Source organism: Homo sapiens, chromosome X, assembly GCF_000001405.40.
Source record: "Homo sapiens chromosome X, GRCh38.p14 Primary Assembly".
NCBI lineage: Eukaryota > Metazoa > Chordata > Mammalia > Primates > Hominidae > Homo > Homo sapiens.
Window position 1 is genome coordinate 35,527,345 of NC_000023.11, and position 15,137 is coordinate 35,542,481.

Genomic DNA, 15,137 nt, shown 5'->3' on the forward strand with positions numbered 1-15,137 from the left:
AACGGACAGCCGAGGTTTTGGATACAGATGAGAAACCACAAATTTCATAGGTCTATCAAATTTTACAGAAAGGTAAATTACATAAAATCCCATTAGTTTAGTTTTTTTAAAAAAACCTTTGATGTCTGGTGTATTATTTCCACCCTGTAACAGGTTCGAGTCTCCATTTGAAGCCTCAAAATTGCTATCGGTGATCACTTTTCATTTCCTTGACTGATTCAAGATGGGTATCAAAGATTACTTGTAAAAGAAAGGGGAAATGTTTCACTCTTGTGAAAGCCAGAATTCATAGTTATTGATTGCATTTTCTTATGTAACAATGTATTAGAATTTCTCAAACTTTACTGGGTATAAAAATCACCTACCGAGCTTCTTAGAAAGAGAGATAATTAAGCCTGCCTCCTGAAATTCTGATTCATTCACTCTGGCTGGGGCCCAGAAAACTTCCTTTTTAAATCAAGAGCTTTAATTAAAAGCTAAAGGATTCATGGCTGGGCGTGGTGGCTCACGCCTGTAATCTCAGCACTTTGGGAGGCCGAGGCGGGCGGATCACGAGGTCAGGAGATCAAGACCACGGTGAAACCCCGTCTCTACTAAAAATACAAAAAAAATTAGCCAGGCGCGGTGGCAGGCACCTGTAGTCCCAGCTACTCGGGAGGCTGAGGCAGGAGAATGGTGTGATCCTGAGAGGCGGAGCTTGCAGTGAGCCAAGATGGTGCCACTGCACTCCAGCCTGGGCAACAGAGCGAGACTCCGCCTCAAAAGAAAAAAAAAAAAAAGCTAAGAGATTCAGAATCAGATGATTATGGGGCCATACTTTGAAAAACAACATATTTGTGGCAGGTATTTAAAAGTTGCAGAATATATGAGTTTTGACTTTCTGTTATGACTGGAATTTCAAACAACAATGACACTTTTCTATATACTATATAGTACTCAAAGACATTTTGCCAAAAATGAGACGTGTTCCTAAACCATCAATGAGTTCAAAGAGGAGAGATAAATTTTCACCATCTGCAGTACGTCTTACTTAAGATTGTTATTATTTTCCAAAATATTCACTATAAAAAGGGCTTATAGGAGTAGGTTTGCTTCCTTTTGTTCTTCTGCCTTCTGCCATGTGAGGACGCAGCAAGAATGCCCTTACCAGTATTGATAGCTTGATCTTGGACTTCCAAGCCTCCAGAAATGTGAGAAATAAATGTCTGTTTTTAATAAATCAGCCAGTCTATGATATTCTGTTATAGCAGCACAAAAGAGACTAAGACAGAATCCTTAGCAACAGAAATTAAGCTAGCAACAAAATTACATTTTGAATGTTAAACACGTAATCTATCTACAGTAATATTGTATGCAAGGCTTTCTAATTCCAAGTATGGAAATCAGATTTCAGGGAATTGAAGAAATACTATTTGGTAGGAAAGTTGTCTGTATGCCTCATTCAAACTGTGGAAATGGAAATGAAGAAATTAAAAGAAAGAGATGAAATGAACCGATTAAAGTGAAAATCATCAGATGGGGTTTAAAATGTTATATACTGTTTACAAGAGACACATCTAAAGCATATGGATACAGAAGAGTTCAAAGTAAATAAATGTATAGGTAAAAAAAAGCATTATTTGCAAATATAAAGCAAAAGAGAGTTTGTATAGTTAAATTCATACAGAACAAATTAGACTTTAAAAAAATGATTACTGAAAATAAAAGAAAACATTCTGTAATTATGAAAGTTTGAATTCACTAGAAGAATTGGTGTGTGGGTTTTTTGTTAAAAAAAGCTATTAAAAATTTGATAGAAATTGTATTGAATCTACATATTGCACTGGGTAGCCTGGGCATTTTAACAATATTAATTTTTACAGTCCATGAGCATGGAATATATTTTCACTTATTTATATTTTCTTCAATTTCTTTCATCAATGTCTTTATAGTTTTCAGTGTACAGATATTTCACTACTTTGATTAAATGTATTCCTAAATATTGCATTATTTTTGGTGCTATTCTAAATGAAACTGTTTTCTTCAGTCCATTTTTTGAATAGCTCACTGTTAGTACAGAAACACAACTGATTTTTATATACTGATGCTGTATCCTGCAACCTTACTCAAATCATTTACTAGTTGTAACAGCTTTATGGTGAACTCTTTAGGGTTTTCTTTTTTTTTTGATACGGAGTTTTGCTCTTATTGCCCAGGCTGGAGTGCAATGGTGTGATCTCAGCTCACTGCAACCTCTGCCTCCCGGATTCAAGCGATTTTCCTGCCTCAGCCTCCCAAGTAGCTGGGATTACAGGCACGCGCCAGCACACCTGGCTAATTTTTGTATTTTTAGTAGAGACGGGGTTTCTCCGTGTTGGTCAGGCTGGTCTGGAACTCCCAACCTCAGGTGATCCACCACCTCGGCCTCCCAAAGTACCAGGATTACAGGTGTGAGCCACCGTGCCCAGCCAGGGTTTTCTTTCTATGAGAACATGTCACCTGTGACTAGAAAGAGGTTTTATTCTTTGTTTCCAATGCGTATGCCCTTTATTTCTTTTTCTTACCTAATCGCTCTGGCTAGAACTTCAAGTATAATGTTTAATAAATGTGTCAAAGTAGGCATCCTCTTTTTCTTAATCTTAGAAAAAAAGTATTCTGACTTTCACCATTAAATATTATGTTAGCTGTAGATGTATTGTCTATCATGTTCAGAAAGTTTCTTTCTATTCCAAGATCGTGGATTGTGTGATGATGAGTATTATTGTTGTTGGGTTTTTGGTTATTTGCTTGTTTACCTTCATTCCACTAATGTGGCATATTACATTGATTAATTTTTAATAGTTAAACCAATTTACATTATTGAGATAAATTTCTGTTTGTCATGGTGTTTAATCTGTTTAATAGGTTGGTGAACTCAGTTGGCTAGTATTTTTCCCAGAACTTTTGCATCTATATTCTTCGGAAGTATTGGTCTGTGGTTTTATTTCTTTGGTCTTTAAATGTTAGGGAAAATTCTCCGTGAACATATCTGAGCCTGGGCTTTTATTAGTTGGAAGATTTTTATTTACTGATTTCATCTCTATGCTTGTTATAGGATTAAGATTTTACTTTTCTTCTTGAGTCAGTTTTGGTGGTTTGTGTATTTCTAGAAGTGTGCCTATCTCTTCTAGATTATCTAATTTGTTGACATACAAGTATTCATAGTGTTCTCATAGATTTTTTTATCTGTAAGGTCAGTAGTAATATCGCCACTTTCATTTCTGATTTTAGTAAATCGAATCTTACCCTTTTTGTTCTCAATTTAACTTATAGTTTGTTGATTTTATCTTCAAAGAATCAACATCTACTTTTGTTTATTCTACTGATTACTCATTCTATATTTGTTTATCCCTATTCTAACCATTATTATTTCTTTCTTTCTGTGAGATTTCTATTTAGCTTATTCGTCTTTTTCTACTATAGGACTTTATAGCCATAATTTTTTCTCTGAGCACTACCTCGCTAAATTCCATAAATTTTGGTGTGTTATGTTTCTATTTTCATTCATTAAAAGTATTTTCTATTTTCTTTTGTGATTTCTTTGCCAACCCATATGTTAGTTAAGAATGCACTGTTTGGTGGTGCAGCAGCCCACCTGAAAGCCACATGGGGCAGGGGAGCCCCCACCCCCCAGCCAAGGGAAGGAGTGAGTGAGCCTGCTACTCAGCCAGGGAAACCATGCTTTTTCCACGGAATTGTGCAACCCACGGATCAGAAGATCCCACTCCTGAACCCATGCCACCAGGGCCTAGGGTCCCGACCCAGGAGCCATGCAGATTCTCAACAGCCTCTCAGCTAGAATCTGCTTAAGCCTGCCAAGTGCCCAGAGGGAGGGGCAACCAGCATCACAGCTGCAGCTGCCTGCTGTCTAAGCCACTTGAGCTCCTTCAGGGAGGGGCAGCAGCCAGCACTGGGACTCATAACTGCCTAACACGCTAAGTTCCCTGGGCTAGGGAAGGGCAGCATCCATCTCTATACCTCCAGGTCATGCTTTTCCCCTGCTAGAGCCAGGGAGGCTGGACGGCCTTGTTCCAAGAGGTGTCCCCCACATCCCAACACACCGGCTATGGCAGACTGCAGCCCGAGCACCTCTTCAGACCTGACCCTGACTCATCCTTCCTTACTGGGTGGGGCCTCCCTGCAGGAACTCCAGCAACTCCAGTCAGAGGCTCAGGGACAGAACCCTGATCTCCCTGGGCCAGAGCCCCTAGGGGGTGGAGGGGTGGCCATAGTCTCTGTGGACCAGCACACTTAGCCTTTCCTCCTGGTAGTTCTGAGGAATCCAGGCAGCCCAAACGAGTGGGTTTCCCCCTAGCAAAGCACACCTCCTCCACCAAGAGACAGTCAAAGTTCTTCACTAAATGGGTCCTGTTCCCTGTGCCACCCAACTGGATGAGACCTTCCAACAGGGGTTGTCAGACACTCTATACAGGAGTGATCTATTGTCATCAGGTTGGTGCCCCTCGAGGTCAGAGATCCCAGAAAAAGGAACAGGTACCCAACTTTGCTGTTCTCCAGCCTCCTTGAGTAACATCTCCAGGTGCAGGAGCAAAACAGATGATTACAGCCTGAAGTGAACCCCCAGCAAACCTCAGCAGCCCTACAGAAGAGGGACCTGACCACTGAAAGAAAAACAAACAAACAGAAAGCAATGACAACAGCATCAACAACAACAAAAAGTCCCTGCAAAAACCCCATCCAAGGGTCAACAGCCTTAAAGATCAAAACTAGACAAACTCATGAAGGTGAGAAAGAATCAATGAAAAAACACTGAAAACACAAAAGGCCAGAGTGCCTCTTCTCCACATGATTGCAATGCCTCTCCAGCAAGGGTGCAGAACTGGACACAGGATGAGATGGATGAATTGACAGAAGTAGGCTTCAGAAAATGGGTAATAAAAAACTCCACTGAGCTAAAGGAGCATGTTCTAACCCAATGCAAAGAAGCTAAGAACCTTGATAAAAGGGTAGAGGAGCTGCTAACTAGAACACCCAGTTTAGAGAGGAACATAAATTACCTGATGGAGCTGAAAAACACATCATGAGAAGTTCATGAAGCATACACAAGTATCAATAGCTGAATTGACCAAGTGGAAGAAAGGATATCAGAGTTTGAAGACCACCTTGCTGAAATAAGCATGCAGACAAGATTAGAGAAAAAATAATGAAAAGGAACTAACAAAGCCTCCAAAAAATACAGGACTATGTAAAAAGATTGAACCTCCAATTTATTGGAGTACCCAAAGGAGACGAGGAGAATAGAAACAAGCTGGAAAACACACCTCAGGATATTACCCAGGATAACTTAGCCAACCTAGCAAGGCAGGCCAACATTCAAATTCAGGAAATTCCAGAGAACACCACTAAGATACTCCATGAGAAGATCAACCCCAAAACACATAATCATCAGATTCTCCAAGGTCAAAATGGAGGAAAAAATGTTAAGGGCAGCCAGAGAGAAAGCCCAGGTCACCTACAAAGAGAAGCCCATCAGATTAACAGTGGCCCTTTCAGCAGAAACCCCATAAGCCAGAAGAGATTGGGGGCCAATATTGAACATTCTTAAAGAAAAGAATTTTCAATCCAGAATTCATATCCAGCCAAACTAAGCTTCATAAGCGAAGAAAAAATAAAATCCTTTCCAGACAAGCAAATGCTGAGGCATTTTGTCACCACCAGTCCTGCCTTGGCAAAAGCTCCTGAAAGAAGTGCTACATGTGGAAAGGAAAAACCAGTACCAACCACTGCAAAAAACACACCAAAATATAAAGACCAATGACACTATGAAGAAACTGCATCAACTAGTGTGCAAAATAACCAACTAGCATCATGATGACAGGATCAAATTCACAATAACATAACAATACTAACCTTAAATGTAAATGGGCTAAATGCCCCAATTAAAAGACACAGACTGGCAAATCAGAGAAAGAGTCAAGACCCATTGGTGTGCTGTATTCAGGAGACCCATCTCACGTGCAAAGATGCAGATGGGCTCAAAATAAAGGGATGGAGGAAAATTTACCAAGCAAATGGAAAGCAAAGAAAAAACAATCCTAGTCTCTGACAAAACAGACTTTAAACCAACAAATACCAAAAAAGACAAAGAAGGGCATTATGTAATGGTGAAGGGATCAATTCAACAAGAAGAGCTAACTATCCTTAATATATATGTACCCAATACAGGAGTACCCAGATTCATAAAACAAGTTCTTAGACACCTGCAAAGAGACTTAGACTCCCACACAATAATAGTTCTGGCAAAGTCAATGTTGAATGTGTATGTTGATAGAAATAATCCAGTAAAAATTTTAAATTAGTATAGAGAAGATCCGAACCAAATCAGGCTGATCAATGTAAGGGAATAAACAGACAATTTGACTCTGATTTTTCTCTATATTCTTAGTTAAGCACAAAAGAAGAATATCAGCTAAGAGTAAGAAAGGAAGGGAGTGCTGGATGTCACTAGTAGTGATCAGGTTTCAAATTACTGTAGGAAACTTTACTATAGCAAATATTACTAAAGGAAAACCATCTCTCATCAAAAGGTCATCACTCTCTCAGAATTTACCTATGCAAAAACACACCAAAATATAAAGACCAATGACACTATGAAGAAATTGTATCAACTAGTGTGCAAAATAACCAATAATAAATAAAATCTATTTGCTTTTCTCTCAATCTACTCATCTACATATACATCTACCAATCTACCTCTTGTAATGTCGTCATATCCTATAATTTCCTAGGTAGATATTAGTCCTCTCTGTTACAATAAGCACCTATATTACTGAAGATAAGCAAATTGCATTAAATAACAAGAAAGAGAAACTATATTACTCCTTAAGCTTTGTTTCACAAACCAGACCTTTATAAGCTATTTCAGTAGGTTCTATTTTTTGTTGTTGTTTCCTTCACACAGAAAAAAAATACTTTACTGGTATAACAAGGTCTAAATTACAGACTGTAGAGATTTTTCCAAAGGGCAGGCATCCAGGCATCATTGAATAACAAGAACTATAGCTTTATGTTTTAAAATAAAATCAGCTGTTTCGCTGATTAGGTAGAAAATCCAACTGCTTCATGCTGTAAATAATAATTACAAATCTATATTACTGGAATCTGAGCTCAGTTGGGGAGAAAATTGGCCATTACATGTAATAAGAAGTAAAATTTTATAAAATATGTAAAACCCAACTGGGCACTGTGGCTCATGCCTGCAATCCCAGCACTTTGGGAGGCCGAGGTGGGTGGATTACCTGAGGTCAGGAGTTTGAGACAAACCTGGCCAACATGGCAAAACCCCATTTCTACTAAAAGTACAAAAATTAGGTGGGTGTGGTGGCAGGCACCTGTAATCCCAGCTACTCAGGAGGCTGATGCAGGAGAATTGCTTGAACCTGAAAGGCAGAGGTTGCAGTGAGCTGAGATCATGCCATTGCACTCCAGCCTGGGCGACAAGAGTAAAACTCCGTCTCAAAAAAAAAAAAAAAAGTGTAAAACACATGCTTAGATGTTATCAGTATTTAATAAACATTCATGGCAATGGCAATTATCCGTGGACCTTGATGTGCTTTATGTCAGGCCACAGCACACATCATTAAATGTCACTAAACACTGTGCTCTTAAAGATAATTTCCAATTCAAAAAATAGCAATATTTTATTTCAAAAAAGTTCTTATTTTTCCAGAAAACATTTTTCTTATCGATTGTCAAACTACATAATATATGTTAACAAAAATCAACATTATGAGACATGATGACAATTATCCCCCATAGGAAAATAAATTAAATTTCCTCTTTGCTAAATACTCACTAAAGCCCTACAATTCAATCTCTGATTATCAGTAATTAAATAAGCACAGATGATGCATATTTTATCTTTTAGAAATAGTGTAGAGTTTCCAAAAACACTGCAAATTTTTATCCATTTGATTACTTGCTCAGCTTATTACATCCCTTCCCAGAGCCAATATATTTGAGATAGTTCTAATTTTTTTAGAATGTGTTTTTCTTGTATAACATTTGATTTATGAAAAAGTTTTTTCCTAACAGAAATTAGTTCATTGCAATAATAAAATGCATATAAAATTTACACATATATTTAAATTAAAGGAAATGTATTATAATTAAGTTAATTATATTTAGGGAAATTATTAAGTATTATATGATATATGTCAAGATCCAATATATTAATAAGTGAAATTAATGAAATAAATTCCAACTAATTAACTAGTTAGAATCACTGCTTTGTGCTTTGAATATATTATCTACTACTTGTAGTAAAGTTGCAAAACAAACAAAAAAACCCAAATGTATTTAAAAATGTAAAACTTCCAGTTAGACATTTATAGTCACAAAATGGAATTAATTTTAAAATATTTTTAATATAAATTTCATTTTTACATTTTTTTACAGTTGCAAAAATTGTGCATTTATTTGTGTGTGTTGGAATAATTATGGTCTCACTCTATGCCCCAATGTCATGAAGTGTGTTGTTTTCCTCTCTATTGTCTTCCAAACTTGGAATAATGCCTAAAAGAAATGTTGGTTAAATGAATGAAGATGAATGAACATGCATCTTGGAATAATCTTTTACTTTATAGATATAAATATTTGTGTAGGCAAAAAATTTACAAAATAAGTAATACTTTATGGTGAAAAATAATATTAATCTCTAGTTTCTAATGACTAAATAGGTAAATGAGTCAGTGTTCATTCATTCAACAAATATTTTTTATTCAATGTTTACTATATGCATTCCAGTGTTAGCATCAAAGATACAGCATTAGCAGATATTTATCCAAACCCCAACCTCTTTGAATATAAATTTTTGTAGTGGAAAAAAGATAACGAGCAAATAATTAAAATACATTTTATGTCAGATTGTGATCATTGATATGGACAAAAATAAATTAATGGATAAAAATTATATGAACTTTGAGATTGAGATTTTTTTTTTTTTTTTTTTTTTTTGAGACAGAGTTTCACTCTTGTTGCCCAGGCTGGAGTGCAATGGCGCGATCTCGGCTCACCGCAACCTCCACCTCCCGGGTTCAAGTGATTCTACTGCCTCAGCCTCCTAAGCAGCTGGGATTACAGGCATGCGTCACCACACCCAGCTAATTTTGTATTTTTTAGTAGAGATGGGGTTTCTCCATGTTGGTCAGGCTGGTCTTGAACTCCCGACCTCAGGTGATCCACCCGCTTCGGCCTCCTAACGTTAACGTGCTGGGATTATAGGCGTAAGCCCCCATGCCCGGCCAGGGATTGAGATTTTTAAGGTGAAGGAATAATTTACTAAGAACATAACGTTTGAGCAAATACCTAAATAAAGTAAGAGAATGAGCCCTATGTTTATCTAGGTGAAGAGAACTCCTGGAATATGAAACAAAAATAAAAAACTACAGCAACCCTGAGGTTGATTATTCAAGGTAAATTATGGCAGCTCGACAGGGGAGAGATCATGGAATAAGAGGAACAAGAGTAGTAAGAGATAAAATTGTCAAAGAAAAGAGTCAAACTCTGTAAAATATCCAAAGAGATTTATTCTGAGCCAAATATGAGTGACCATGGCCTGTGGCACAGCCCTCAGGAGGTCCTGAGAACATGTGCCCAGCTCATGGGGGCACAGCTTGGTTTTATATATTTTAGGGAGGCATGAGACATCAATCAAATACATTTAAGAAATACATTGGTTTTGTCCAGAAAGGTGGGACTACTCAAAGCAGGGGCTTCCAAGCTATAGGCAAATTTAAACATTTTCTGGTTGACAATTGGTTGAGTTTATCAAAAAACCTGGGATCACAGAAAGGAAATGTTCAGGTTAAGATAAAAGATTGTGAAGACCAAGGTTCTTTTGAAGTCTTATAGTGGCTGCCCTTGGAGACAATAGATGACAAATGCTTCCTGTTCAAATCTTTAAAAGGTGCTAGACTCTTAGTTAATCTCTTTAGGATTGGGTGGGCCTGGAAGAAAAAAATTCTAGCTATGTTAATAGAGATTGTTTACAGATGCAAATATTCCCTCACAAAGGACTTTGCAGGGCCATTTCAAGATATGGCAAAGAAACACGTTTTGGGGTAAAATATTTTGATTTTCTTCCTTGTCTCATAACGTTATGCCAGAGTCAGATTGGAAAGTAAGTCATGATATATAGGATTAAATAAAACCCATCTGATGAGAATTTATTATTTGTAGGGCTTGACTCCCCAGACCCCTTAGATAGGAATTTGGGAAAGAGAAAAAAATCAGAGTTTAGTCCTGAAAATCAAATGAAGTATCTGGTTTATGGTAAAGAATTTTGAGTTAATTTTTGAATGAACTTTGAATGAGATGGGAAGTAGTGGGAGAGCGTGGAGCAAGGAAGAGACCTGATTTGACTTCAGCTGTTAAAATTTTTCTCTTTGTTGGTAGAATAGAGTTTGGAGAACAGAGAAAGCAGGAAGAGCAGATAGGAGGCTATTGGGATGATTTAGGTGTGTCATAAGGTGAAAGCTGGGACTAGTGTGGTAGAATATGTTGTGGTAAGAAGACAATGATTCTGGGCCGGGCGTGGTGGCTCACACCTGTAATCCCAGCATTTGGGAGGCTGAGGTGGGCGGATCCCGAGGTCAAGAGACATAGACAATCCTGGACAACATGGGGAAACTCCGTCTCTACTAAAAATACAAAAATTAGCTGGGCGCAGTGGCACACGCCTGTAGTCCCAGCTACTTGGGAGGCTGAGGCAGGAGAATTGCTTGAACCCGGAAGGCAGAGGTTGCAGTGAGCGAAGATTGTGCCACTACACTCCAGCCTGGAGACAGAGAGGGACTGTGTCTCAAAAAAGAAAAAAAAAAAAGAGACAGTGATTCTGGATATATGTTGCAAACAGAGTCAACAGGATTAGTTAAAAGATTACTTGAGGGAAAAGACAAGGATCAAGTTGCTACTAATGAAAAAGACTATAGAAAGAGGTGGTTTAAAGAGGGAGAGCAGGAAGTTAGTTTAGAACATGTTAAATTTTAAGATTTCCATTAGCTATCCAAATAGAGATAATGTGTAGGCCACTGAATATTCGATCACAAACTTCAGAAATTTGTACAGGCTGAAAAAAGAAATCTGAAAGTTACTCGCATATAAATGATTATTTGAAGCCATGAGGCTTGATGAAATCACTTAAGATATGCTTGTAGAAAAAGAAGATAAGATATTGAAAGGCTGAGTTCTGGAATACTTTGACATTTAGAGGATGTGAGAAGAGGAACAATAAGCAAAATATATTAATGCTGTGAGAAGAAAGGTAAGAAGAAAATGAGGGCTGTATTGTGTCTTAGAAGGCAAGTGAAAAACTGTTTCAGGGGTAGCAGATGATTTTTTTTGATGGCCTATAATTCAAATCTGGGAAGTGTTTAGGAGAGAGGAAAGTTGTGGAAGAGAAAAGAGCTACTATATGTAATGTCTGGGCAGAGGAAGCATTGCCCTCATAGGTGAGAGTCACTTTTCAGCTAGAGAAAGAAGATACAGGGAACATACAGAAAAGTTGATAAAGGGATATAGGTGATTTTCCCAATGACAGATTGCAGTTTACAGAAGATGGTGTTGTAGGGCTTTAGAATTTGGAAATGGGTGAGAATTCTGGTCAGAAATGTAGATGTACACTACCCTGGGGGAAAAGGGTACAGAGAATTAGGGATGACCTATAAAACTTGTTTCCTTGTGGTGACAGATATAACAGGGATAAATCCATAATGAAATGTTTCCTGATAGAAGGAAGATAGATAGTTATAGTAAGATCTCATCGCCTTCCATTATTTTGGAGGGTGAGCCTTTGGGGATGAGAAAAAATGGGGAGCTTTGCAAACATACACTACATATAAGGGGCCACTAATGGTTTGAAAATAATCCACCAATTATTTAATACTTCTTAACTACCTAAATGTAGGGGTGTGTGTGTGTGTGTGTAGGTACAGATATAGATATAGATCTTCTTATATATGAGCTTAATATTCTCCAAACTCAGCCCTCACAAATAACAAACCAATGTCATATGTGGAAAGCTTATTAATATGCCCAAGAATTCAGTGTTTGGGTATAAAATGAATGTCTCACCATTTACCTTTTTCTTTCTATCAATTTTCTTCCTGATAGAACTTGTGGTAAATATCACAATACCATTTATGGGTGACAGCAAGATAAACGGAACTCAATAATTACTCTGTCTGTTCCTATCAAGATGGCAGAGGCCCTAGTACCTGCCCAGTTGCTATAGAAAAGGATATTCATTTTAGCTACCACAACTCAGGAAAAATAAATAGCAACAAAAGGTAGGAGTGATTGTACCTAGCCAAAATAAGAAAATCCAAAAATGAAGGCTTTTCAAAAATAAAATGCATTCATCATTTCCCTTATATGAGATAACCAGAAAATTGTAAATCTAATCCATTCTAAAAGATTAAATGATGATTGGCTCACAGAGCTGGTAATGATAGAGATTTTTATTTGTGTACTTATTTCCTCCTCATAGAGATCATGGCAACTTGTATTCATTTGTATTACTTTTAGACCTATAAAGATAGTGATACCAGCTAAAAGAAGAAAAAGACAACCATTTCATGTTATGTGTAATTGGATATTTGACATTTTAGATAGAGTTCTGATTATACTTGACAGATGTATTTTTATTTTCATTTTATACTCTCTTTTTAACAAGCATAGTTTATTTTTCTTGATTTTTTTCTCTAAAATAAATGTTTGAAATAGTAGAAGATTTTAATTTCATTTTTCTGAATGTAATATTTATGCTAGAATTAAAATTTGAAAGACATTAATTGTATACATTCAAAAACAAAGGTAATGAGAAACAATATTCACGTATAATAATACAGGATTTTTAGTTTTTTAAGAATGTACCAGATGCAAAAGGAATGGGTTAGTACAACCCTTAGTTTATCAGAGTCTAATAAGTCTTTTTTTTAATGCTGTCTACAAAATTACATTAAGCTTCTAAAAAAAATCACCCATTTTAGCTAAAGCAATCACAACCTTTATTTTCTCTCCAAACTTTCTTGTACATTGTCCACCTCTTGAGACTAAAGTGAGAAAATATTTTACCATATCCATGGATTTCAAAGGGGAAAAATACAGGCAAAAGAAACATTATTTCCCAGTGATCTCCACTATGCTTTCACAGATTTCTTTTTGGTCATATAAGCCTGTGAATCATCACCCAATTTTTAGCACACTTTATTTTGTTTCCTCCAAGACAGGCACTCGAAATATAATCTCAATATATTAAAGATATTGATAGACAAGTAATACTTGAAAAAGCATGTTTCATTTTGCAAAACCAAATCCCACTCTCTTATTCTCAGCTCCTTTTGTTCTGAAGTTGGTAAAAATGTGTATAATTTGCCTTTCATTCTACTATCTGAGCATTTTTATTTTAAATTTTTATTGTGTATGCTACTTCTACCACTTAATAAGAAAAGTGTTCCATTTTTTAAGAAACAGAAAAGTATTCTCAACTTAGCATAAAGATTAGAAAAAAGGAAACAAACCTACAGAGAACTGAATTATTAACTGACATCATTAACCAAACCAAAGGACAACAGTATTTTTGAGTTCTAATTGAATGATCCACAAGTATAACCACCTTCTGAATGCAAAAAATATATTCTAGACATACTTAACAGATTGTCCTCCAACAACTCTTTGAAAACATCATCTAATGAGGAGTTTGTATTTCTTAACACATCTTTTTCCTTTATGGAGTAAAACTGGACAATTCTTTTTGTGTTTTAGTTCCACATCTCACTGCCTGGAACTTTCAGTCTCTGGTTGAAGTTCTAGTCTTAGAGCAATGTACACTATTAATCTTCCCTTTCCACACTTAAAAAGACACTTTTGCAAGTTCACTATCATTTGTTCTCTCAAGCAATGAACACAGTTCTGTGAATTTTCCAATATTGTGCTAGTTCGCTAGATCTCCAAGGATTTAAGATCCTATCTTGTGTTTTCTAGGTCCTTCTGTAGTAGACCAATCATGAATAAGGTAAGCTAGTTGCTTTTACATTTTAGCAATGATGAGTGATCATGTGGATCTCCAAATACCGTCCCTGAATTTTTATTTCCTTGGACTACCTGTCCATTGAAATACAGCCATTACTACCTAGATTACAACATACTGACCATTGTAATATCTCAGTCTGTTGAGAGGTTGTAACAAAATATCTTACACTGGGTGATTTATAAATAATAGAAATGTATTTGTCACAGTTCTGGAAGCTGGGAAGTACAAGATCAAAGTGCCAGCAAATTCAGTGTCTGATGAGAGTATGTTTCTCATAGGTGCCACCTTCTCTGTGTGTTCACATCACAGGCAGAGTTTCACACTGCAGGCAGAGTAAAAGGGAAAAACTCACTCTCTCAAGCCCTTTTATCAAGGCACTAATCCCATCCATGAGGACGTAACCTTCATGACCTAATCATTTTCCAAAAGCCCCATCTCTTAATACCATCAACGTGGGGTTAAGTTCCAACTTTGGGAGAGACACCAACATTCAGACTATAGCATTCTTCCCCTGGCTTCCCAAAATTCATGTCTTTCTCATATAAAAAATGTTATTCCAATAGCCCCAATAGTCTTAACACAATCTCGCATCAATATTAAAGTCTAAGTCCAAAGTGTCATGTAAATATCACCTAAATCAGATATGGGTAAGACTCAAGGAATAATTCATCCTGAGGCAAATTTTCCTTCCCCTGTGAGCCTATGAAATCGAATAGGTTATGTGCTTCCAAAGTACAATGCTTAGACAGGCATAAAGTAGACATTCCCATTCCAAAAGAGAGAAATAGAAAAGCAGAAAAGAGCAACAGGTCCTGACCAAATTCAAAACCCAATACAGCAAACAATATTAAATCTTAATAATTTAGTGGTGTGATCTCGGCTCACTGCAACCTTCACCTCCTGGGTTCAAGCAATTTTCCTGCCTCAGCCTCCCGAGTAGCTGGGACTACAGGCACGTGCCACCATGCCCGGCTAATTTTTGTATTTTTATTTGAGATGGGGTTTCACCATGTTGGCCAGGCTGGTCTCAAACTCCTGACCTTGTGATCCACCTGCCTCGGCCTCC